Source organism: Homo sapiens, chromosome 17, assembly GCF_000001405.40.
Source record: "Homo sapiens chromosome 17, GRCh38.p14 Primary Assembly".
Taxonomy (NCBI): Eukaryota; Metazoa; Chordata; class Mammalia; order Primates; family Hominidae; genus Homo; species Homo sapiens.
Window position 1 is genome coordinate 905,548 of NC_000017.11, and position 25,591 is coordinate 931,138.

Genomic DNA, 25,591 nt, shown 5'->3' on the forward strand with positions numbered 1-25,591 from the left:
ATATGAGACATGTTACCGATACAAGACAGAAATCATGCTATTGCAAACCACAGAAAATAGTTCTAGGCCAGTGCCGTTCAATAGAAATATAATGTAAGCCACATGTATCATCTTAAATTTCTTAACAGTGAAAGGTAAAAAGGGTTGGGCATGGCATGGTGGCTCACACTTGTAATCCCAGCACTTTGACAGGCTGAGGCGGGAGGACTGCTTGAGCCCAGGAGTTTGAGATCAGCCTGGGCAACAAAGCGAGACCCTATCTCTACAAAAAATTTAAAAATTAGCTGGGCATGGTGGCATGTGCCTGTGGTCCCAGCTACTCAGGAGGTTGGGGTGGGAGGATCGCTTGAGCCCAGGAGGCAGAGGTCGCAGTGAGCCACAATCGTGCCATTGTACTCCAGCCTGAACTACAGAGTGAGACCTTGTCTCAAAAAAAAAAAAAAGAAAAAGGTAAAAAGGTACAGGTGAAGTTAATCTTAATATATTTTAACCCAATACATCTGAAACATGATCATGTTGAAATGTAATCAATATAAACGAATAGTAATAGGACATATTACATTCCTTTCATCGTATCTGGGTCTCAGGGGCCTGGTGCACTTTATACCTTCAGTGCATCTCGATGTAGACTTGCCTCATTCTCAGGTACCTGCTTCGCAGCCATGAGAAGCTAGTGGCGGCCCCTGGACCACACAGCTCTGGGAAGTGGCACCATATAGTTAAGAAGTGTCCAGGGTTCTACTTACTTCTAAACTGTGTATTTTTGAATGACTGGCCTGGAATTAATAAATAAATAAATACCATGTTTTTTAAAGTTTTTTTTTAAAGAAAAATGTCTGTAGTTCCCACCTGCCCGTTTCCTACTTAAACAGCTCTGGTCAAGTCACTTAACCTTCTTGAGCTTGAGGGTCATAAAACTCAAATGAAGGTGAAAAAATGCCAACACAACTTCCTCACAAGGCTGTCTCGAGGCTCATGTATTATAATGCAGAAGGAAGTGTTTTGGGGTTTTTTTGGTTTCTGGGTTTTTTTTTTTTTTGAGACAGTCTCACTCTGTCACCCAGGCTGGAGTGCAGCACTGCAATCTCGGCTCCCTGCAACCTCCACCTCCCGGGTTCAAGTGATTCTCCTGCCTCAGCCTCCCGAGTAGCTGGGACTACAGGCACCCACCACCACACCCGGACAACTTTTTTTTTTTTTTAGTGGAAATCGGGTTTCATTATGTTGGCCAGTCTGGTCTCGAACTCCTGACCTCAGGTGATCCGCCCACCTCAGCCTCCCAAAGTCAGGCTGGGATTACAGGCGTGAGCCACCGTGCCCGGCTGGGAAGTGTTCTGTATAGTCCTATGCAAATGCCAGTTATTGCTATTCCAGTTACTTTAAGAGACTAGATCATCCTCAAACAGCAGCAGCATCTTTTCTTTGGTCTATAAACATTTTGCACACACCTGTCCTTCCTTCCCAGAGGCACAAAAACAGCGAGAAACACACATCAACAGTCCCCTAGTACAGTTACCATGTCAGAAGCTGTAAACCCACTTTACAAGAAAAATCTCAGCCCAATTTCCAAGTAATCTTTTTTTGGGGGGGCGGGGGAGGGTTATCTCCAAGAGAATTAATTAGACTCGTAAACAAAGATGGAGAAAAACATCCCTCCTTGCCCGACCCAACCTATCTTGTTCCCTTTCCTGCAGCCTCTGGCTCTTCAGAAGGGTTAGCGAATTACCTGTGAATTTAGGTGATTGCTTCTTGCAATATTTTAGGATTGTGAGGAGAAGTGATGTCTCAATACCTATTTTTTTTTTTTTTTTAAACAGAGTCTCACTCGGTCACTCAAGCTGGAGTGCACTGGAGTGATCTCAGCTCACTGCAAGCTCCGCCTCCCGAGTTCAAGTGATTCTCCTGCCTCAGCCTCCCTAGTAGCTGGGATTACAGGTGCCCGCCACCACGCCAGGCTAATTTTTGTATTTTTAGTAGAGATGGGGTTTCACCATGTTGGCCAGGCTGGTCTTGAACTCCTGACCTCAGGTGATCCTCCCGCCTTGGCCTCCCAAAGTCCTGACATTATAGGCGTGAAAACACTGTGCCTGGTCTGAAATACAGTAATGTTTGGTGGGCCCGGCCTGGAATATGGTAATGTTTAGCAGGTGATTTACCCACAGATTGGTCCTTTTTTCAGATGTCGGATCTGTAGGATTCTCAAGTTGACACAGGCATGTCTTCAGACACTGCAACTTTCATAAATGGCCACAAAATATAATGGATGGCAGAAAACAAGGGAGGTGGGTTCTGTCCTCTCGAAACCAGTTGCATCTATCTTTGTTGGCTTCATGCTTGAACTGCCAAAGTGGACATTCGGTGGCCCAGGCTCGCTGCCAACTCATGTAATGGGCTCAGCAGCGCTCCGTCCCTGAACCTGGGAGGTCTCAGTTCAACCTCCCAGAGTACCCCCAAGTCTCCCTCTCTAGAGACACCTGTGGTCTGTTCAAAGGCATTCCTGCTTTAGGACCTAAAGGTTCCAAGAAAAAAAGGGTCCCAACATTCTGAAACAGAACATAATCATAATAAGTTTTCCTTTCTTAACTGAGTGTTCCCCAGAGACGGCTCACAGTAGGGGTGAGCTATAAAGGAAGAACAATTTCCTCAATTCTGACCCCTGATTTTTCTCCTCTGGTCTCTAATTGGGTTACTTCAAAAACCCATGTTCTAGCCGGGCACGGTCGTTCACGCCTGTATTCCCAGCACTTTGGGAGGCTGAGGCAGGCGGATCATGAGGTCAAGAGTTTGAGACCAGCCTGGCCAACATGGTGAAACCCCATCTCTACTAAAAATACAGAAATTAGCCAGGCATGTTGGTGGGAGCCTGTAATCCCAGCTACTTGGGAGGCTGAGGCAAGAGAATCCCTTGAACCTGGGAGGTGGATGTTGCAGTGAACTGAGATTGTGCCGTTGCACTCCAGCCTGGGCAACAGAACGAGACTCTGTCTCAAAGGAAACAAAACAAAACAAAAAACCCATGTTCTACTTTTTTGGACCGAAGCCATTATGGTTAAACCAAATAGTCCACGGCAGTGGATCCCAAACATGTACCAAAGGCCCCCTGGAGAGCGCTTCAGGGTTATCACAAAGCTCCTTCCATCCCATGAGCACCAACAACTGTCTTCAGACCAAAAATTCAAGACTACAGGTGCCATTAGGTGTAGGATCCATGAAACCTTTGCCTCATGTTTTAAACACTGAAAACCACGACTAGCACTTTTAATAATACACTCCCGGCTGGGTGCGGTGGCTCACACCTGTAATCCCAGCACTTTGGGAGGCCGAGGCAGGCAGATCACGAGGTCAGGAGTTTGAGACCAGCCTGGCCAACATGGTGAAACCCCCGTCTCTACTAAAACTACAAAACAAATTAGCCGGGTGTGGTGGCACTTGTCTGTAGCCTCAGCTACTCGGGGGCAGGAGAAGTGCTTGAACCTGGGAGGCAGAGGTCGCAGTGAGTCGAGATCACACCACTGCACTCCAGCCTGGGCGACAGAGTGAGACTTCGTCTCAAAAAAAAAAAAAAAAAAAAAAAAAAAAACACTCCCTGCCAGCAGTCTGTCCTAGTCAAACGAGAGGAACACATCTCAAAATCTTCTTTTAAGTGACAGAATAATGAAGATTAAACAAGAAACATCTTGGGTTTTGTTTTTCACTTTTAATCTCATAAAACATTGCAAAATCTGAAATTACAAACACTTATAAAGCTAAACATTACACAACCAGTGCTCGGCATGAAACAGAGAGATTTTATATTTATTCTTCTGTGGTACCAAATAGAGGAATAGCGTTCCCTTAGAATAAAGTCCAGTGTAACATTTGGACAGACCTGCACTGTTGAGAAAAAACAATCAAGCCACCGAAAACCTGTTCTGACATGAGAATGTTCACAAAAGACAGCACTTCTCGACTTCTGCTGATAAACTTGTGTTCCAAAGGAAATGAATTTTTTTTTTTTTTTTTTTTTTTTGAGACTGAGTCTTGCTCTGTCCCCCAGGCTGGAGTGCAGGGGTGCGATCTCCGCTCACTGCAACCTCTGCCTCCCGGGTTCACGCCATTCTCCTGCCTCAGCCTCCCGAGTAGCTGGGGTTACAGGCGTGAGCCACCACGCCCGGCCTAATTTTTTTTATTTTTAGTAGAGACGGCTTTCACCATGTTAGCCAGGAGGGTCTGGATCTCCTGACCTCGTGATCCACCCACCTCGGCCTCCCACAGTGCTGGGATGATGGGCCTGAGCCACCGCGCCCGGCCGGAAATGAGTCTTAAGCAACTGCTGGTAGTGATGCCTCTGAAGTGGACTAACGGAAAACAGCGCGTGACAGAGGACAACGTCTTAAAAAACGCTGGTGAGTGATATCGCCTTTAATATCTATATCTATCCACTATGGATCTTATGAAAGAATCATGAAATACTTCTAACATAAAGGCAGTTTATTTGCCAAGAGAACAATCTTAAATCTCCTAAAAGCTCCATCCAGTTCTAGGTTGAAGCAACATCCTACACCTCCTAAATCAAACAACCTATGACTCAAATTCTAATCTTGGCCAGGCCTGGCAGCTCACGCCTGTAATCCCAGCAGTTGGGGAGGCCGAGGCAGGCGGATCACCTGAGACCAGGAGACGGAGACCAGCCTGGCCAACAGGGCGAGACCCTGTCTCTACTAAAAATACAAAAATGAGCCAGGCGTGGTGGCGGGCACTTGTAATCCCAGCTACTCAGAAGGCTGAGGGAGGAGAATCACTTGAACCCGGGAGGCGGAGGTTGTGGTGAGCCGAGATCGCGCCGCTGCACTCCAGCCTGGGTGACAGAGTGAGACTCCATTAAAAAAAAAAAAAAAAGTTCTAATCTTTGTAAGTGGCATAGACAGACAAAGTGTTTTCCAAATGCTGTAGGATATATATTTTTTAAAGCTCTCAATGCATAATATTGTCTGGAGGGTTTTTATTTGTTTTTTAGAAGAATTTATCATCCGTTCCAAGTTAGAGTTCACTTGCTACAAATGCTCAGAACTGATGATGTTTTTTTAAAAAAGCAACATACTTTCTACGTACAGCATTATTGCTCCAATGAATTAATGCCAACAAATGTGCTCGGTATTGCTTCCAGATTCTTCAAGTAACTGTACTCCTTGGAATGGTCAACCCAGTCCCATCTGTCCTTGATTACTTAATTTGCAGTCACCGGGGAGTTCAAAATGACTTTTCCACAGTGAAGATGGAAGCACACCTGGGCAGCAGAACGAGTGATGTGGGCTCAGCTCACAGACCTTCTCACACAGGGATGTAACAGGCGGCAGAAAGAAGGAATTCCCTCCCCGCGAGAAGGCTTGGGAAGGACAGTCTCCATGTTCCGGGAGACTCTGGACTTTAAGGAAGATTCCTTCCTGCTCTAGCTTATCTTTTTTAGCTTTTTTTTAAAGTATTTTTTTTGCTGATTAACTCCACTCTGCCAATAGTGTGTCCTCTCAAAGGACTCCAAGTTCCCACAGTGCATATGTATCCAATTTTATTGCTTTGCACTTGATATACGGCTTTGTAACTGCTCAAGGCATATTTTTGTGAACATTATGTTTCTGTCTCCCATACTCTACCCTAAGCTTCTTAACAATAAAAATCATGCCCTGCCCCTGCTTGGGATTTTTAACTATGACTGCATTAAATCTATAAATTAATTTTAAAGAAATGACATCTTTACAATATTTTGTATTTCTAGCCAGGAACAGTCTGTTTCTCCATTAATGCAAGTCTTCTTTTTTTTTTTTTTTTTTTTTGAGACGGAGTCTCGCTCTGTCGCCCAGGCTGGAGTGCAGTGGCGCGATCTCGGCTTGCTGCAAGCTCCGCCTCCCAGGTTCATGCCATTCTCCTGCCTCAGCTTCCTGAGTAGCTGGGACTACAGACGCCCGGCTAATTTTTTTTGTATTTTTTGTAGAGATGGTGTTTTACCGTGTTAGCCAGGATGGTCTCGATCTCCTGACCTTGTGATCCACCCGTCTCAGCCTCCCAAAGTATTGGGATTACAGCCGCCCACCACCACACCCGGCTAATTTTTGTATTTTTAGTAGAGATGAGGTTTCTTTCACCCTGTTAGCCAGGATGGTCTTGATCTCCTGACCTCGTGATCTGCCCGCCTCAGCCTCCCAAAGTGCTGGGATTACAGGTGTGAGCCACAGGGCCCGGCCAATTTTTTTTTTTTTTTAATGTCTAACCAAAGTTTCATAGTTTTCTCCAACTATAAAAACAAAATATGCACATAAAACATTTCACGTGAGTCTTTCTCCCTCCCCAGATCCCAGTCTGGCCCTCAGGTAATCCCCTCAGTTAAGTAACTTCCAGACGATATTCATGCATATACTTTTTTTTTTTTTTTGAGATGGACAGTCTCACTCTGTTGCCCAGGCTGGAGTACAGTGGCGCGATCTCGGCTCACTGCAACCTCTGCCTCCCGAGTTCAAGTGATTCTCCTGCCTCAGCCTCCCAAGTAGCAGGGATTACAGGCGCCCGCTACCACGCACGGCTAATTTTTCTATTTTTAGTGGAGATGGGGTTTTGCCATGTTGGCCAGGCTGGTGTTGAACTCCTAACATCAAGTGATCCACCCTCCTCAGCCTCCCAAAGTGCTGGGCTTATAAGCGTGAGCCACCACACCCGGCCAAATACTCTATTTTTTAATCCACATTCGGTTGAAAAAAATCTGTGTATAAATGGAACGGTGTAGTTCAAACCAACGTTGTTTGAGGGTCAACCGTATTTGTAAGATCTGTTGAGAAATTCCCAGAAATTGGACTGACAGGTCAAACGGTCCACACATTTTTAACTGTGTTAAAACACTGCCAAAGACACCGCATCAGATTACGCTCCCCCAACCACGCGGGAGAGACCCCGTCTACATCCTTGCCAACACTGTATGTTATCAAATGTTCCTTTTGCCAGTTTAATAATCACATATTTCAAAAGTTGTACTTCTTTAATTGCAAACAGAACCAGGCATCTTTTCATGTTTATGTGTCTTTCTCTGTTCAAATTCTTTACCCAAATTGATTTTAAAAGCTCTTTATGCATTAAGAAAAAAAACAGGCCAGTGGGCAGTGGCTCACACCTGTAATCCCAGCATGAAGATTACATTTGGGAGGCCGATGCGGGCGGATCACCTGAGGTCAGGAGTTCGAGACCAGCCTGGCCAACATGGTGAAACCCCGTCTCTACTAAAAATACGAAAAATTAGCCGGGCGTGGTGGTACGTGTCTGTAATCCCAGCTACTCGGGAGGCTGAGGCAGGAGAATCGCTTGAACCCGGGAGATGGAGCTTGCAGTGAGCCAAGATTGCACCACCGCACTCCAGCCTGGGCGACAGAGTGAAACAAGGAAAGGAGAAAAGAGAAAGGAAAGGACGGAAAAAAGAAAGAAAGAAAAGAAAAATAGCACTTTTCTCTGTCATATACGTTGGAAATATCTTTTCTCACCCTAGGGTTTATCATTTGATCTGGTTTCTGGTATTTTGGACCATATAGAAGTTTTATATTACAGTCATCTCTTTTATAGTCACCAATAAAATCTAGATTAATTCTCTGAACATAAATAGAGGCTAACTTCTTATTAGGAGAAGTAAAATTGAACAGAAAATTCATGAGTCACCAAAAATCCTTCCCGATTTTGTAAAATCTGGAAAAGCCAACAGTTGATCACCAAACCACTGCCAGCTCCCAAATGACAGAACTCATCCACAGAGCACCCCCACAGCCCAGGATGGCCCATTTTCTCCTGGAGTCTGAAAAGTCCATTCGCTTGTCAGTTTTCCAGAGTCTGGGAACCCTTTTTGCCTCTAGCGCTGGCTTAGCTGTTTCAACACAGAAGTGATCACAGATGAAGATGTCGGCCCCTGCCCACAGCAGAGACTCCTCAACACGACAGACAGAGAGCAACAGGCTGAGAAAGGAGAGTCGGTCAGTTTCCCAGAGACATCGTGGCACAACAGAGACCAAAGGAAAAGAGGATAAGGAGGCAGGTTCTCCACCTACCCCCACGTCCCCAGGCAATGCAGAGACCGGGAACCGATAAAGAGGCAGGTTCTCCACCTACCCCCACGTCCCCAGGCAATGCAGAGACCGGGACCCTTCTCAGATGACTTTTCTCTCCTGGCACCTGCTCTTTCTTATCCTTGTAGTAAAAGAGCAGACAAAAATGAAGCAGAAAAAAAATGTGTAAACAATTGCCCTTTCCATCTACACTGGCATAAACTCACTTACTTAAGTGCAAGGACATTCATTATAACGGCGTGTCCTCCCAAACTCGCGGAAGATTTTTATTTTATTATTTATTTTTATTTTTATTTTTGAGACAGAGTCTCGCCCTGTCGCCCAGACTGGAGTGCAGTGGCACAATCTTGGCCTACTGCAACCTCCGGCTCCTGAGTTCAAGTGATTCTCCAGCCTCAGCCTCCCGGGTAGCTGGGACTCCAGACACCCACCACCACACCCAGCTAATTTTTGTATTTTTAATAGAGACAGGGTTTCGCCACATTGGCCAGGCTGCTCTCGAACTCCCAACCTCAAGTGACTCACCTACCTCAGCCTCCCAAAGTGCTGGGATTACAGGCGCCCGCCACCACGCCCAGCTAATTTTTGTATTTTTAATAGAGATGGGGTTTCGCCACGTTGGCCAGGCTGGTCTCGCACTCCTGACCTCAGGTGACTCGCCTACCTCAGCCTCCCAAAGTGCTGGGATTACAGGCACCCGCCACCACGCCCAGCTAATTTTTGTATTTTTAGTAGAAATAGGGTTTTACCGTGTTGGCCAGGCTGGTCTCAAACTCCTGACCTCAGGTGATCCACCCGCCACAGCCTCCCAAAGTGCTGGTATTACAGGCACAAGCTACCACGCCCGGCCAGAAGGAAGATTCTTTTTAAGGCGAGAAGTATGCAATGAGACAGTAGAGGCAAGGTCAAAGGCAAACACCGAGGTCTGTAATTGGTAGCGCAAGCAAGGTTCCTAGAGGAGACAGGAATATACACAATTCAACAAACATGTATGAAATGCTACCTTGTGCTGAGCATCGAACCAGGCGGAGACAAAGATGAGGAGCAGAGACTCGCTTCTGACCTTCAAAGAGTCCACAGTCCATTGAGTGAGGTCATTAACTCAGCAAGCGAGTTAACAGGGAGCGTACCGTGATGTGGGAAGCAAGACTGTTGGGTGTAGAGGAGGCGGAGCTGGATGTGGGGAACCAGGGCTTCCCCTGGAGGAGCTGATGAGTGCGTGGAACCAACAGCACAGGCAAATAAAGCAAGCAAGTGAGATGAGTTTTCCTAAAATATTAAAGGGGGTGAAATCGCAGACACTTGTACTGGAAAAATTTCAGAGTTGATTTTTTTTTTTAGACAAAGTCTCGCTCGCCAGGCTGGAGTGCAGTGGTGCGATCTCGGCTCACTCCAACTTCTGCCTCCCAGGTTCAAGAGATTCTCCTGCCTCAGCCTCCCAAATAGCTGGGAATACAGGCACCCGCCACAACGCCAAGCTCATTTTTTGTATTTTTAGTAGAAATGGGGTTTCACCATATTGGCCAGGCTGGCCTCGAACTTCTGACCTCGTGATAGGTCCACCTCAGCCTCCAAAAGTGCTGGGATTACAGGCGTGAGCCACTGCACCCGGCCAGTTGAGGATTTTATAGTTGAGAATAAGTGGGATTATGATTAGCATGACCTCTAGGAATTCTTTCTCTCTTTCTTTCTGAGATAGAGTCTCACTCTGTCGCCCAGGCTGGAGTCATCTCGGCTCACTGCAACCTCCACCTCCTGGGCTCAGACAATCCTCCTGCCTCCGCCTCCCAAGTAGCTGGGACTACGGGAGTGTGCCATCACACCCAGCTAATTTTTGTATTTTTTTGTAAAGACTGGGTTTTGCCATGTTGCCCAGACTGGTCTCAAACTCTTGGGCTCAGGCAATCAACCTGCCTCAGCCTCCCAAAGTGCTGGGATTACAGATATAAGACACCACACCTGGACTCTAGGAAATTATTTCTAAGAAAGGAGTAAAAGTGAGAATGAATGAGTACATAGTGTAACGCTTCCGAGCTTTGGTGCAGGAGGAAAGTAAATAACAAGGATACCCCAGGGCTGGAAACTTGGCAATAAACCAAGAAGGCAGAGACCAGTTAGTGCAACACTAAAATGCCTGACCACTTATGGGGCCAGAGCTGGGGCTTCCAGGTGAAACTTCCCCTAAAATGGGCGGCCACTTATGGTGTCAGAGCCGAAACTTCCCCTAAAATGGGCGGCCACTTATGGTGTCAGAGCTGGAACTTCCAGCTGCTCCCCCTCTCCCAGTTCTTTTGTCCTTGTCCCTAGAGTTTTGGTCTCCAAGCAATCGGTTCTGTGTTTTTGTTTGTAGGCTCAATTTTAAACCACATTTTGTAAAGGCACTTCTCAAAAGGCAAAGATAAAAACACTGAAGCTCTTAAGAGCGCCTGTCTGGCTGCCAAGCCATTGTTCTACTCAAATGTCGAATGAAAAGGGAGAAACAGAATGATGATTGTATTTGAATTGCTTCCAAGGAAAAGTAACCTCCAGCAAAACTCTAGGCCCACTTTGCTAGAAATCCTGGCACGTCGGCAACAGAAATGGAGGCAGAAAATTGCATCTTTCAGAAAGCAGAGTATCAAACAGGAAAAGCCACAAGGAGTGAGGTGCTGTGAGGTTCCCGTGGTGCAGGATCCATTTTATCCTTTCTACTTCTTCCTGCTGAAAATGAGATTATTTAAAACAATTTAAAAGACAATTTTCCCTGCAAGGGGCCTTTTGGAAATGAGTCAAAGTCAAATCCCTTGTTTTACGTAAAATTAACGTATGACATTTCAAAGTTACCAAACTAAAAAAAAGGAAAATAAATATAAACACATTCCAAAACTTAAAAATGAAGGAGATTTCAGACAGTCCCTCCTGGTAAAATGTGAAATTGCACCCCAGCTGCAGTAGCTACTGTAAATATCCAAGGAATCAGTTTTAAGTGTTTGGGGATCCCAGGGATCCCTGCAAAGCACTCAGGATTTTAACATTAAGCTCACAAATTACAGCAGCTGGCCGGGCACGGTGGCTCACGCCCGTAATCCCAGCACTTTTGGAGGCCGAGGCAGGTGGATCACCTGAGGTCTCCACTAAAAATACAAAAAACTAGCCAGGTGTGGTGGCGGACATCTGTAATCCCAGCCACTTCGGGGGCTGAGGCAGGAGAATCACTTGAACCCGGGAGGTGGAGGTTGCAGTGAGCTGAGGTTATGCCATTGCACTCCGGCCTGGGCAACAGAGAGAAACTTCATCTCTAAAAAAAAATTACAGCAACCAACAGGCCTCTAGGTTAGTTACCACCCTAACCTCTTCGTTGTAAATTTTCAAACCACCTTGAAGGTGGGTATTTTTGGTGGGTCTTTATCTTCATTCATTAATCACATTATCAGACATTCCCTGTGTGTCCTGTTCTGTTATACATGCTGAAGCTACAAATCAAACATCCGCTTTGCCTCCAACAAGATTCCCTGTTCCTAAGTGAACCAAGGAATGAGGTGTTCCACGCCTGAGCTCACATCTTTTTTTTTTTTTTCTGTAGCCCAGGCTGGAGTGCAATGGCGCGACCTCGGCTCGCCGTGGCCTCCGCCTCGCGGGTTCAAGCGATTCTCCTGCCTCAGCCTCCCGAGCAGCTGGGACTACAGGCGCCCGCCACCATGCCCAGCTAATTTTTTGTATTTTTAGTAGAGACGGGGTTTCACCATGTTGGCCAGGCTGGTCTCAATCTCTTGACCTCGTGATCCGCCTGCCTTGGCCTCTGAAAGTGCTGGGCCTCTGAAAGAACAGGCGGGAGCCGCCGCTCACATCTTTACTCATGAACCTAAACTCACAGAGCAGCCCCACACTGTCGTCTGTGGAAACCACACCAGCTCCTCCTCTTCCTTCTGGACCTGCTGTCCCACCCTACGCCCATTTTTTATCTCCACCCACTCTTTGAACTTAGCACTGGTGTCTACAGGCTCGATTCCCAGCTCTCCCACAAGGACGTGGCTCAGACGCACGTCACCATCTCAACCCAATGTAGGCCACCCGCTGCAGGCGAGCTTCCCTACCCAATCCGACCTCCTAGACGGACACCCCAGGTTCCAGCCCTACAAGGGGCGCGTACTGGCACAACAGGCGGGCGTGGCTCTCGCTCCCCAGGAAGGCCTCGCAGAGGTGGGGACAAGGGCGGATGGGAAAGGGGATAAGCGACAGGAGAGGGGGGACTCCCGTTCCAAACAAAGGGGACTGCGTACTGGTGAAGAAGAATGTGGTCTGTATTCAGTTTTGTTGACAAGAACCCCTAATGGATAATAATAAAATGTTTACTGAGCTCGTACTTTATGGAAGACACATGGCTCACGGCAGGGCCCGGCACATCACAAAAACTCACTCCGTATTTGCAGCATAAAGGAAATCTCAGTTTCAGTTTTAAAAGTTGTGTGTCTAAACCAGAAAATAACTCATAACATGATCCTACTAAGAAGATGGGCCAAAAACAGACAAAAGAAACACGAGAACACTCAATATCACCTCCCCCAAAACAACACAGCATTTTCCTCCTGTAATCAAACAATCACAAACCAGGCTGTGCTGGGCCTGGCCGTTGTGCCAGAAACAGCCCCAGAACCCTGGGCCCAAAGGGGTCTGGTCTTGATTAAGATTATTTTCCTTTGTAACGTTCGGTTTGGAGGAAAAGGCGGGAGGGTCGGAAGGAAATGGGAGGAGCGCACGATCCATCAGCGAGTTTCATCGCAGCGTTTCATCTCCTTCGTGAACTGGGCTCAGGGAGGCCGTGACTCCCATTTCCATTTGGCTCCCGAGTCAATCACTCACTTTCATTCCAGCTACTTTTTGTCTTAATTTCTTGACTTAAAAAGGGTTTGGTTGAGGCCGGGCGCAGTGGCTCATGCCTGTAATCCCAGAAAGTGAGGCCGAGGCGGGCGGATCACCTGAGGCCAACAGTTCAAGAGCAGTCTGGCCAACACGATGAAAACCTGTCTCTACTAAAAATACAAAAATTATCCAGGCGCGGTGGTGGGCGGCTGTAATCCCAGCTACTCAGGAGGCTGAGGCACGAGAATCGCTTGCACCCGGGAGGCAGAGGCTGCAGTGAGCTGAGATCGCGCCACCGCACTCCAGCCTGGGAGACAGAGACTCAGTCTCAAAAAAAAAAAAAGGCCGGGGGTGGGGGGGCGGGTGTTTGTTGAATCCTTGGTGAATTTAAGGACTCAGAAAACAAAGTAAGTTAAACTACGTTTCCACAGCCTCCTTCCTCATTAAAAATGTCTCTGCAGCCAGGCAAGGTGGCGTGCGCCTGTAGTCCCAGCTACTCGGGAGGCTGAGGCGGGAGGATCACTTGAGGCCAGGAGTTTGAGGCTGCAGTGAGCTATGATTGCACCACTGCACTCCAGCCTGGGCAACAGAGTAAGACCCTATTGCTTTAAAAAAAAAAAATGTTTCAGCCAGGCTCGGTGGCTCACACCTGTAATCCCAGCACTTTGGGAGGCTGAGGGTGGATCACGAGGTCAGGAGATCGAGACCATCCTGGCTAACATGGTGAAAGCCCGTCTCTACTACAAATACAAAAATCAGCCGGGCGTCATGGCGGGCACCTGTAGTCCCAGTTCCTTGGGAGGCTGAAGCAGGAGAATAGCTTGAACTAGGGAGGCAGAGGTTGCAGTGAGCCGAGATTGTGCCACTGTACTCCAGCCTGGTGACAGAGTGAGACTCTGTCTCAAAACAAAACAAAAAAAAGGTTCTGGAATGATTATTCCAATTAAACAGCTTTTATTACAATACTCTGTCAATGCAGGGCAATCATTCCTTAAGATGCTAGAAAACGTGTTATTGTAACACGAGGAAAAAGCCCTGTAATCTCAGCACAACCAGAAATTAAAGTGGCAGTTTTGGGAGGACGCAGTCAAACGGCTTTCTACAGCACCTCCTCGTATCGTGGGTTACAGAACCTACGTCGTCCTCGGAATCCCCGCATTCGTCCCACGCGGCCCTCAGACACGGGCTCTGGTTCAAGGTGGGAGACAGAGACAACACCAATCAGCCCTTACCAGGCAGTGCGTGGCTCCAGAACAACAACTGAAAATAATATTGGAACGCAGTCCAGAAAATACAACTAGGGGCAGAGCGGTCCGGCACAAAACACCAGGAAACGCTCTCCCTTCCATCATTCAATCTTGGCGGACCACACTGGTATGCGACCTCATCTAGCTACATAGCTACACCTCCCTCTTGTCACCTTGCAGACTGGTATTCACTAACCCCCAGGCCATGGCGGAAAATGTACCTTCCATCTCTCTCTGCCTCAGCCCCCACCGGCACCCTTGGTGCCTTCATCACCCATCCAGAGCAACTACCCACTTCCACGGCCTCCTCCATGTGAGGACCTCCGCCTCCAACTCTCTTCGAGCCACCACGCGGTGCAAATGTTTGTATTTTTGGTGGAGACAAGGTTTCGCCATGTTGCCCAGGCTGGTCTTGAACTCCTGGGCTCAAGCGATCAGCCCATCTCAGCCGCCCAAAGTGCTGGGATGACAAGCACGAGCCATCACGCCCAGTCTACACCCCGAAATCCAACATTACAAACTTATCAATGCTGCCTCCTGTCATCTCCCCCCGCCCCTGGCTCCCGCTTTGACCTGGAGGAATCTGGCAACGTCAACATCAAGTGATTGTTCAAATTCAGCCAAGGGGGCCGATGAGGTGCCCATGTGGCTCTCCTCCCAGCCCCGAGCGCCTGGGGATACCTAGGCCCTCCTGTCATGCCCCAAGGCCAATGTAGCCTTGGGGATGCCGAGCCTGCCTGATCCCAATTCCTCCAGCGTTCTCCTCCCAGGGTTCCGCTCCCTCCCCAAGTGACCAGCCCTCACCAGCTCACTCCAGCTCTGCAGCGTTCTCCCAGGCTCTCAACCCTCGACGCTCATCCAGGTTCATTCGCCATCCGTATGCCCTAGCCCAGGGTGGGTCTCATCAACTGTACCCTCACTGGCAGCACCCAGGACGTTCTCAATGAGGTCTTCATTCATACCGCCTTGCCAATCGCCCTCAAAATCACCTGGAAGATTCCACCGTTCAGGAAGCCTTTTTTTTTTTTTTCCTTTGAAACAGAGTCTCGCCCTGTTGCCCAGGCTGGAGTGCAGTGGTGGGATCTCGGCTCGCTGCAACCTCTGCCTCCCGGGTTCAAGCGATTCTCTTGCCTCAACCTCCCGAGTAGTTGGGATTACAGGCGCCCGCCACCATGTCCGGCTAATTTTTGTAATTTTAGTAAAGACGGGGTTTTGCCATGTTAGCCAGGCTGGTCTTGAACTCCTGACCTCAAGTGATCCTCCCACCTTGGCCCCCAAAAGTCCTGGATGACAGGTGTGAGCCACCGTGCCCAGCCTCTATGTGACCTTTATATGTTTCTTAACCTCTTTGTGACTCAGTTTTCTCATTTGTAAAATAAAGAGAAGAGCATCTATATCACAGCTTTGTAGTGAGAGTTAGACGGGACGGCGTTCAGCCACCCTCAGAGCAGCGGCTGGCACACAGGGGAGCCCCTTCCTCTGCTCACTCCTTCCTCTTCCTCCACCTACAGGGTCAAGTCTTTACCACTCAAAAGGTAACTGTTTATCCCCAGGCAACCTCTATGTTCCTCTGGCTCAGCCCCAAGCTCCCTGACTCACCACAGCCTCCTCCTACCCCGGCTCCCTCTCCGCACTCACAAGCCGGCTCTCAGCGGGGCCACCAACAACACCCAGCGGAACCCGTCATCTTGTTCCGGTCCACGGCGCCCCCTGAAACTGCTGCTTTCCATCTTTTCCTCGAAACGCTTCCCGCACCTCTCCTGGCCCCTCTGCATCTGTGGCTTGTCCTTGGTCCCCTACGCCAGCCCCTCTGCCTGCCCCTGAATGCTGGGGGTGATGGTTTCACCCTTGGCTTTCTCCTCCTGTCCCGAAGATGAGTCCATCTGCTCCAGCACGCTAGACAACACCTGGCCGGCCCAGGCTCTCATCCTCACTGCCCCTGGACAACACCTGGCAGGCCCAGGCTCTCATCCTCACTGCCCCTGGACAACACCTGGCCGGCCCAGGCTCTCATCCTCACTGCCCCTGGACAACACCTGGCCGGCCCAGGCTCTCATCCTCACTGCCCCTGGACAACACCTGGCCGGCCCAGGCTCTCATCCTCACTGCCCCTGGACAACACCTGGCAGGCCCAGGCTCTCTCCCTCATTGGCCACTGGCATCTCTTCTGGGCTCTACCTGCCCGCAGTCTCACCTGTATCCCAAGGGAACCTCAAACTCAACATTTCTAAAATTGAGGTTACCGCCTTCCTCCAACCTGCTTCTCCCTCTGTATTTCTTATATAGACTGAAGACATCGCTGTCAACCCAGCTCCCCACATCAACCCTTTGGTAGTAGACTGGGCAAAGGGCCTCATTCTAAGAAACCCTTTTCAGCGGGTAACTGTGACTTTGTTGGCCAACAGAAACGGGTTAGCCCTGTATTCAGGGATATGACTTAAAGCTGTAAGAATTGGCCAGGCACAGTGGCTCACGTCTGTAATCCTAACACTTTGGGAGGCCGAGGCAGGTGGATCATTTGAGGCTGGGAGTTTGAGACCAGCCTGGCCAACACGGTGAAACCTCATCTCTAAAAATACAAAAATTAGCTGGGTGTGGTGGCGGGCACCTGTAGTCCCAGCTACTCTACTCGGGAGACTGAGGTAGGAGAATCACTTGAACCCGGGAGGCAGAGGTTGTGGTGAGCCAAGATCGTGCCACTGCACTCCAGCCTGGGCAACAAGAGCAAAACTCCGTCTCAAAAAAAGAAAAAAAGAAAAGTGTGAGAACCATTAGTTGGAAATAGGATGGGGCCACGAATAAAATCTAAGCGTACATTCCAAAATCAAGAGCTTAACAAAAGACCCAGTTAGCCTGAGGTACAGAACCAGGAGGTGCTCAAATCTGGGGCTGAGAGCCAGAGAGACGTCAGAAGGTGAGAAGTGCCCAGCCAGGACTCCACTCTGCGTTCTTTGTTTTGTTTTTGAGACGGAGTCTTGCTCAGTTGCCCAGGCTGGAGTGCAGTGGTGCGATCTCGGCTCACTGCAACCTCTGCCTCCGGGGTTCAAGCGATTCTCCTGCCTCGGCCTCCCGAGTAGCTGGGACTACAGGTGCCCGCCACCACACCCGGCTAACTTTTTGTATTTTTAGTAGAGACGGGGTTTCACCGTATTAGCCAGGATGGTCTCGATCTCCTGACCTCATGATCCACCTGCCTTCGGCCTCCCAAAGTGCTGGGATTACAGACGTGAGCCACCACGCCCGGCCCACTCTGCATTCTTACAAGGTGCCGTGTGTGGCTCCCAGGGCCTGAGCTGGGAGCCCAGAGTCTTCATCTCCTCCCTACTTCTCACTTCAACTCGACTTACTCACCTCCCAAGTTCTCCCGGACTCTGTCTCCTGTTTTACTTTCCTTGACAGCATTATCCACGAGTTCAGGACTTCTCTTTGCCTTAGGGACCACCACCTGGACGGCGCGGTGGCTCACACCTGGAATCCCGACACTTTGGGAGGCCAAGGCAGGAGGTTTTTACTACAACATCTCCAGGCAGGGCCCTTGTCTTATTCACTCTGTTTACATCCACCTGGGTGCCACTCCAGTGTTTCGCACAGAAAAATAACCACGTTGGTGCAATTACTTGTGCACCAACTTAAAGCAAGACCCCGCTTTACACCAAAAAAATTTTATATTAGTCAGGTGTGTTGGCACATACCTGTAGTCCTAGCTACCCCGGAGGCTGAGACGGGAGGATTGCTTGAGCAAGTCTAGGCTGCAGTGAGCTGTGATCACACCACTGCACTCCAGCCTGGGCAACACAGCGAGACCGTGTCTCAAAAACAAACAAAAATTTTTAATTAATTTTAAAATAAAGGCCATCCCATCCAAGCAAAAATTGGAAAATGTAATGTTCAACAACATATCCATATAGTCACTATTTGCAGACCTGCAACGTGCAGGACACTGCGTCCAGCATTGGGGACAGGTCCTCACAGAGTTTACGCTCTTGTAAGAAAACAGACATCAAATATCCCCAAAACATATGTAACTAGAAACTTTGATAAGCAGCATAAAAGAAACAGATAGGACACAAGTGCGTTTGATACCAGAAGGACAACCTCATCGGGGGTCAGGAATGATGAAACATCAAGCAAGAGTGAAGATGAAACACTTGGTAATATTTGATGAGCGAGGAGAATATTCGTGAGATAGTTAAGTGGAAACGACAAAACGACAGGTATATAGTTAAACCCCACTTTTGTATTTTTTTAAGTATATTTTACAGAAGAAAGGAAAGATATACAAATAAAGTGCAAAATGTTAGCAGTGGGGAGGTTTATGATTCCTATATTCTAGTGCTTTTCTACATTTTTCAAATTCTCAAAAAGTTTTTTTTTTTTTTTGAGACAGGGTCTCACTCTGTTGCCCAGGCTGCCGTGCAGTGGCACGATTCTGGGCTCAAGGGTCTTCCCACCTCTGCATCCTGCATATCTGGGACCACAGGTGTGTATCACCAAACCCGACTAATTTTTTATTTTATTTATTTGGGACAGCTTATTTATTTATTTTTTGAGATGGAGTTTCGCTCTTATTGCCCAGGCTGGAGTGCAATGGCGCGATCTCGGCTCACTGCAACCTCCACCTCCTGGGTTCAAGCGATTCTCCTGCCTCAGCCCCCCGCGTAGGTGGGATTGCAAGGCGTGAGCCACTACGTCCGGCTAATTTTGTATTTTTAGTAGAGATGGGGTTTCACCATGTTGGCCAGGCTGCTCTTGAACTCCCAACCTCAGGTGATCCGCCCACCTCGGCCTCCCGAAGTGCTAGGATTACAGGGATGAGCCACTGCGCCCGGCCGATTTTTAATTTGTTGTTGTGATAGAACATACATAACAGAAAATGTCCTATTTCAAGTGTGTTCCGGTGGACCGTCCTGCAGCATTAGGTGCATCTCCTGTTCTGCTACCATCACCACCATCTGTCTCCAGAACTTTCCATCTTCCCAAACTGAAATTCCGTCCTCAGTAAAGACTAACTCCGTTCCGTTCCGTTCCGTTCCCCTGCTCCCCAGCCCCAGCCCTTGGCAGCACCAAGCCTCATTCAGTTTTAAAATGCAAACATTCAAAGACCAAGCCTCATTCACACCTTCGGTGTAAGTTACTTTCATCTGCGAAACTCCCATCACTCAGAAAGGAATGCCCAGGTAAAGGCAGGAAGTACAGGTACACAGAGCTGGAGACAGGCCTGGGTGGCAATTTGGGATGGGGGTTGGGAGAAGAGATTTTACAAGTCAGATGGGAAGGAAAAGTAACTATTTGCTTTGAGGTTTGGCCCAGGGCCTTGGGAGCAGCCGGCGGATTCAGGTGTAAGAACTAGCCACCAAAAGCCTCTGCATCTCTTGTTCAAAGCTGATTGTCTCAGGTTTGACTGTCTCAGGCTTTGGTGTCTCGCAGAAGCACCAAAGGAGAGGACAGGGAGGAAGAAAGAAGGGGTGGAAAGGAGATACAGAGACTTAAGTCAAGAATGAGGCCTCCCGCCTCCCGGAAAGCAAACCTAGGAATACTCTTGACAGCTGGTCACACTGCACCTGCCTGAACAAGTCCAGTGACGGGTACAAGGAGGCCCCAACATTCCAGAGAAGCACATCCAGGCAGCTTCAGAAACCCCAAACCCAGGAACACAGAGGAGGCTGGAGAGGCTTCTGGCTTTTTCCTGATTGACTGACTGAGACAGAGTTTTGCTCTTATCACCCAGGCTGTAATGCAATGGCGCGATCTCAGCTCACTGCAACCTCCGCCTCCCGGGTTCAAGCGATTCTCCTGCCTCAGCCTCCCGAGTAGCTGGGATTACAGGCGCCCGCCACCATGTCTGGCTAGTTTTTGTAGTTTTAGTAGAGACGGGGTTTCACCATGTTGGCCAGGCTGGTCTTGAACTCCTGACCTCAGGTGATCCGCCCGCCTCAGTCTCCCAAAGTGCTGGGATGACAGGCGTGAGCCACTGTGCCCAGCTCCTGATCTGTGGTGGTTGTTGCTGCTGTTAATGTCTCACCTCTCACTACAACTCCCCATTCAACTTTCTCTAAAACCACCTCACTCATACAAACGTTGCCCTGGCTCAAGCAACTGCTAAAATGCTCACGAACGTCCCTGTTCCCCAAGAAGTACATGGTGGGCTTGCTCCCAGCACAGCAAAAAGTCATCATTCCAGTCTTTAGTTTATCCAAAACTCCCTTTCTCTGGCTAAGAGCTATCACTTCTTTAGATAATCTTTGCTTTTTCTTCCCTGATATCACCAATAGTAGCAGCTGATTCTCGTTGCAAAAGAGCCATTTTTCACAAAGAAAGTTTTAATGACTTAAGAGTTAGCAGCTGGGCTGCAATGCAAATCTATGTCTTAGCAGAATTATGACCTGTCAGGAATCTCTGGGATGGATGAAAGCTCTCAAGATTCAAGACAATGTTAGATCCGCACATTCTCAGTATCTACCGTCTCTGTCTCTATTTTTCTCCTCCTTCCCTCTTTCAAGAGACGGATCTCACTCTGTCACCCAGGCCGTAGTGCAGTGGCACCGTCAATGGCTCACTGCAGCCTCAACCTCCCGGGCTCAAGCAATCCTCCCACTCCAGCCCTCCAAGTAGCTAGGACTACAGGCATGCACCACTACACCCGGCTAATTTTTTTATTTTTTATAAAGACAGGGTCTTGTCATGTTACCCAGGCAGGTCTCGAACTCCTGGGCTCAAGCGATCCTCCCGCCTCAGCCTCCCAATGCTAGGATTACAGGCGTGAGCCACTGTGCCCGGCTCTCCTCCCCTCTCTTTTCTCTTTATTAACAGGAGTATCCCATGTTTTTTGTTTTTTTTTTGTTTTTTTGTTTTTTTTTTGAGACAAGGTCTGGCTCTATCGCCCAGGCTGGAGTGCAGTGGTGCAATCTCGGCTCACCACAGCCTCTGCTTCCCGGGCTAAAACCATCCTCCCACTTCAGCGTTCCGAGTAGCTCAGACCACAGGCGTGCACCACCACGTCGGCTCATTTTTGTATTTTTTGTAGAGATGGGGTTTCGTCATGTTCCCAAGCTGCTCAAACTCCTGAGCTCAAGCGATCTGCCCGCCTTGGCCTCCCAAAGAGCTGGGATTCCAGGCGTGAGCCAACGTGTCTGGCCATCCCACACATCCCTGGGATTTGTAGAACAAGGCTCTGGGTAATGAAAGAGTCTGGGGATAAACACTTTTGCCCATCTCCCATCCAATGCAGCCAAGAAAACTGTTCATAACAACCCTGGGAGGTGAGTCAGTGATCCAATGGGAGGCTGGAAGGAGTATAGAAAAGGGAGGTAAGAGAAGCAAAAGTAAGGCCAGGTGCGGTGGCTCACGCCTGTCATCCTAGCACTTTGGGAGGCCGAGGTGGGCGGATCACGAGGTCAGGAGATCGAGACCATCCTGGCTATCATGGTGAAACCCCGCCTCTACTAAAAACAGAAAAAATTAGCCAGGCGTGGTGGCAGGCGCCTGTAGACCCAGCTACTTGGGAAGCGGAGGTTGCAGTGAGCCGAGATTGTGCCACTACACTCCAGCCTGGGCGACAGAGACTCCATCTCAAAAAAAAAGAAAAAAGAAAAGAAAAGGGAGGTAAAAGAAGCAAAATTAGGACTGGGTGCTGTGGCTCACACCTGGAATCCCAGCACTTTGGGAGGCCAGGGCAGGCAGATCGCTTGAGCTCACAAGTTCCGGACCAGCCTCGGCAACAAGGCGAAACCCCGTCTCCACAGAAAATAAAATAATCAGGCGTGGTGGTGCACACCTGTGGTCCCAGCTACTTAGGAGGTTGAGGCAGGAGGTTGCAGTGAGCCAAGATTACGCCATTGCACTCCAGCCTGGGTGACGGAAGTAAAACCTTGTCTCAAAAAAAAAAAAAAAAAAAGCAAAAGTAGCCAGGATGGTTTGCAGGAGGAGCAGAAGGAGGCGGGCTCAGTGGGAGATGGCCCACGTAACCAGTCAGACAGCGATGGTTTGCGGGAGGAGCAGAAGGAGGCATACTCCGTGGGAGACGGCATAACCAGCCAGACAGCACTGGCTCTCAGAGGCAGAGAACAAAAGGGACGGGCTTAGAGGGAGAAGTGAAGCCCATTTCAAAAGAACTCCTAGAGACAGCCGTGCCCACTCGCCCCCTCACCAGCTTTTCTTTAATTACTGAGTCTGCACGTGATGTTCCTTATACCACCTGGACTCTCACCAACCCCAGCTGCTTGTGTTAACAAAGTCAACCTCTCTGAGAATCTGGGCTGGTGGTCATTAGCAAAGAGAGGCGAGGATAAACATCCTAGATAAAGGGAAACCACAGATTGTAAACTTGAAGAGGACTCTGGCCAAGAATCTGGAGGAGTTACTTAATTCACAGGGTTGTGGTAAGGGACTAATGAGAATGCAGACGAAGGTGTTTTGCAAAGAAAGTGCCATAAGCATGCGTCACTAGGAAAGCTGATGTATGAGCAGTCTGCAAAGTGGGGGTCTCAAGAGCACAGAGTCCAGGCAGCGGGGGTCTCAGCCACAGCACCACCTCTTTAAAAAGCGACACCCAGCTAACTTCACATCTCATTCCAAAGAGTGGCAGTTTGGGTAACGTGCTCTGCCAAGCACATCTGACTTCATCAGAAAAGCATTCGGTGAGATTTCCTATGGAATCCTTGTGGACAACATAGATCCACAGGCTGGATAATGTGAACTGGTAACTGGCCAACCACCACACCCCTGAAGCTTGGATTAGTGGATGAATACCATTAACCTAGAGGGAAGTTTCTCACTGTGTTCTAAAAAGATCCATTCTGGCTGTGCTCATCTCAACATTATCCTTAATTCCCTTGAAAAAGTACTGGAAGGTTGGGCGCGGTGGCTCACGCCTGTAATCCCAATACTTTGGGAAGCGGAGACAAGCTGATCACCTGAGGTCAGGAGTTTGAGACCAGCCTAGACAACATGGTGAAAGCCCATCTCTACTAAAAATACAAAAATTAGCCGGGCGTGGTGGTGGGCACCTGTAATCCCAGCTACTCGGGAGGCTGAGGAGGGAGAATCGCTTGAACCCGGGAGGCGGAGTTTGCAGTGAGCCGAGATCATGCCACTGCGCTCCAGCCTGGGTGACAGAGTGAGACTCTGTCTCAAAAAATAATTAAGGAAATAAAAGATACTGGAGAATACCGCTCACATGTGCAGATATCAAGAAGACTAGCAGATGAGCAAATGGCCTAAACGCGTAATCAGCTGTATAAATGCAATACACATCATAACTTTTAGGAACTGTTTGCAATTCACACTTAATTCCCACAGAGTAAAGCCGAGGCCTTAAATTAGTGAATGGCATATGTGCTTTGTTTGGCTTTGCCCAATGTCAAGAAAAATTTTAACTGGCTAACAGCATGTAAAACTTAACTAGCTTCACATAAAAACCCAGTTTGTTAGCTTGAAAAATCAGAAGAGCTGGCAACGTCGGCCTTCATTACGGCAACAGGCAGCTGGAGGTGAGCGCCGGCTTTCCCCGAGGGCTGGCTGCGGCCCTCCACTCTGTCCCCCACCACCTGGCCCAGGCCACTCGCTTCACCTGCCTGGCCCTCTACTGGCATTTGAGTTGGTGAGTCCTGCAGGAAAACACTGGTTCACGTTATTAAATATGTCCAATTGGCTACACGTTTTGACTGTGCACGAAACTCCAGCTCGGTCTTCACTTACAGCTTTTGCAGGTTTAGCTCCTGTAGCAAGATCCAACATCTGATCTCACAGCTTCACAATGACAACCTGTCTGTGAAGAACATCCCAGTTTTCCAGTGTGCCCCCCTACCCTCTGGTTTATTTAACCTTCCCAATATTCCAGGAAGGCTGGGCTTATTGTCCAAAATAGAAGGGCGATCAACCAGCTAACAGGAACTAAAACCGGGATTTCAACTCAGGACTTGGGTTCAACCTTAGCTTAGCATTTCCCACCATACCTACCACGCATCCCTCAATCCCTGGAGGCGGCTCTGATTCCAGACTGACCCAACCGGAGGAGGCTCAAGTCCAGGTTGCAAAGCAGCTGGGCTGCTCTGGAAAGAGCGTTTGGAATCCTTGCTTCACTTCCGTTTTTAATCTTCTTAAAAAAAACTGTGTAGTAGTGTTTAATCCAAAGACAGCTGATTCCCATTTACACGTAACCTGTTGAACTCACATACTAAATTTTAAAGCTCTGCTCTCGAAAATGCAGTTTGCTCTTTAAGATCTCCTTGGTAACACATCTAACTGGTATCTGAACTACAGAAAAAAAAAAAAAACTTTGGAATCAATCAATGACGGGGGTTAGAATAAAATCCAACTCAGGAAAGTACCGAAGAAAGTTCCAGAATGACAGCTGTGTAGCCGACCCAGAGAACCACCTGTGTCTGGAATGGAGGAGGACTGGTAACTCCCAGGAAAGGGGACTCTCCAAGTTAAAAAGGGGACTCAGGCTGGGTGCAGTGGCTCACACCTGTAATCCCAGTACTATGGGAGACTGAGGCAGGCAGATCACCGTGAGGTCAACAGTTCAAAACCAGCCTGGCCAAGATGGTGAAACCCCATCTTTACTAAAAATACAAAAATTAGCCAGTGTGATGGCGGATATCTGTCATCTCAGCTACTCAGCAGACTCAGGCAGAAGAATCACTTGAAGCCGGGTGGCGGAGGTTGCCAGTGAGTTGAGATCGTGCCATTGCATTCCAGCCTGGGTGACAGAGCGAGATTCCGTCTCAAAAAAGAAAAAAAAATACCACTTGAACTTGCCACAAACAATATTTACAGACACAACAATGCCCCTATTGATTGACTGGCTGATTTTCAACTACACACAAAGCATGAATCCCGGTGACACAACACAATGTAAATACGAACAACCTTGACAAAGCTAAAGGTACAAAAAATAGGAAGGAAGTGCAGGAGACCTGATGGGCAGGATAGAAAGACACCAACGTTCCCAAAGTCCTATTGAAGGATAAGGAGTAAAGGCATAAACATGTTATTAAATGCTAAAAGTGTAACCAGGAAAACCGTAAATGGTGGTATACCAAGAGGACAAAGAAAGTTGAGTTTGCTTTTTTTTTTTTTTTAGACAGAATCTCGCTCTGGTTGCCCAGGCTGGAGTGCAGTGGTGCGATCTCGGCTCACTGCAACCTCTGCCTCCCGGGTTCAAGTGATTCTCCTGCCTCAGCCTCCTGAGTAGCTGGGACTACAGGTGTGAGCCACCACGCCCAGCTAATTTTGTATTTTTAGTAGAGATGGGGTTTCACCATGTTGGTCAGGCTGGTCTCGAACTCCTGACCTCATGATCCGCCCGACTCAGCCTCCCAAAGTGCCGGGATTACAGGCGTGAGCCACCGCACCCGGCTGGTGAGTTTGCTTTTAAGGGAGCTAAATCGATCTCTAGCCTAGCAGAAAACCAACACATAATGTTGAAGT

At 48.5% G+C, this 25,591-nt stretch overlaps 1 protein-coding gene and 1 long non-coding RNA gene across 4 annotated transcripts in view, besides 5 other annotated features; one reads left to right on the plus strand and one right to left on the minus strand.

Annotated features, from left to right (window-relative positions):
• The window catches only part of NXN (nucleoredoxin), a 180,467-nt gene that overhangs the window by 106,238 nt on the left and 48,638 nt on the right, over nt 1-25,591 (minus strand). The gene's annotated exons all lie outside the window — the stretch shown is intronic.
• LOC101927727 (uncharacterized) lies at nt 4,085-5,665 on the plus strand. The gene is made up of 2 exons (NR_135633.1): nt 4,085-4,385; nt 5,147-5,665. It is a non-coding gene; the product is annotated as an uncharacterized LOC101927727 (long non-coding RNA).
• Nucleotides 4,162-4,456: an enhancer, noted in NCBI's record as "tiled region #13189; K562 Activating DNase matched - State 9:DNaseU". NCBI's record gives its function as "activates a minimal TATA promoter and a strong SV40 promoter by Sharpr-MPRA in K562 cells {active_cell/tissue: K562}" and the evidence as "EXISTENCE:reporter gene assay evidence [ECO:0000049][PMID:27701403]".
• Nucleotides 12,982-13,499: an enhancer, noted in NCBI's record as "H3K4me1 hESC enhancer chr17:821769-822286 (GRCh37/hg19 assembly coordinates)". NCBI's record gives its function as "activates a minimal SCP1, AML or CMV promoter by ChIP-STARR-seq in primed H9 embryonic stem cells {active_cell/tissue: H9 hESC(primed)}" and the evidence as "EXISTENCE:reporter gene assay evidence [ECO:0000049][PMID:30033119]".
• Nucleotides 18,291-18,847: an enhancer, noted in NCBI's record as "H3K4me1 hESC enhancer chr17:827078-827634 (GRCh37/hg19 assembly coordinates)". NCBI's record gives its function as "activates a minimal SCP1, AML or CMV promoter by ChIP-STARR-seq in primed H9 embryonic stem cells {active_cell/tissue: H9 hESC(primed)}" and the evidence as "EXISTENCE:reporter gene assay evidence [ECO:0000049][PMID:30033119]".
• Nucleotides 18,848-19,403: an enhancer, noted in NCBI's record as "NANOG-H3K27ac-H3K4me1 hESC enhancer chr17:827635-828190 (GRCh37/hg19 assembly coordinates)". NCBI's record gives its function as "activates a minimal SCP1, AML or CMV promoter by ChIP-STARR-seq in primed H9 embryonic stem cells {active_cell/tissue: H9 hESC(primed)}" and the evidence as "EXISTENCE:reporter gene assay evidence [ECO:0000049][PMID:30033119]".
• Nucleotides 21,582-22,472: an enhancer, noted in NCBI's record as "H3K27ac-H3K4me1 hESC enhancer chr17:830369-831259 (GRCh37/hg19 assembly coordinates)". NCBI's record gives its function as "activates a minimal SCP1, AML or CMV promoter by ChIP-STARR-seq in naive H9 embryonic stem cells {active_cell/tissue: H9 hESC(naive)}" and the evidence as "EXISTENCE:reporter gene assay evidence [ECO:0000049][PMID:30033119]".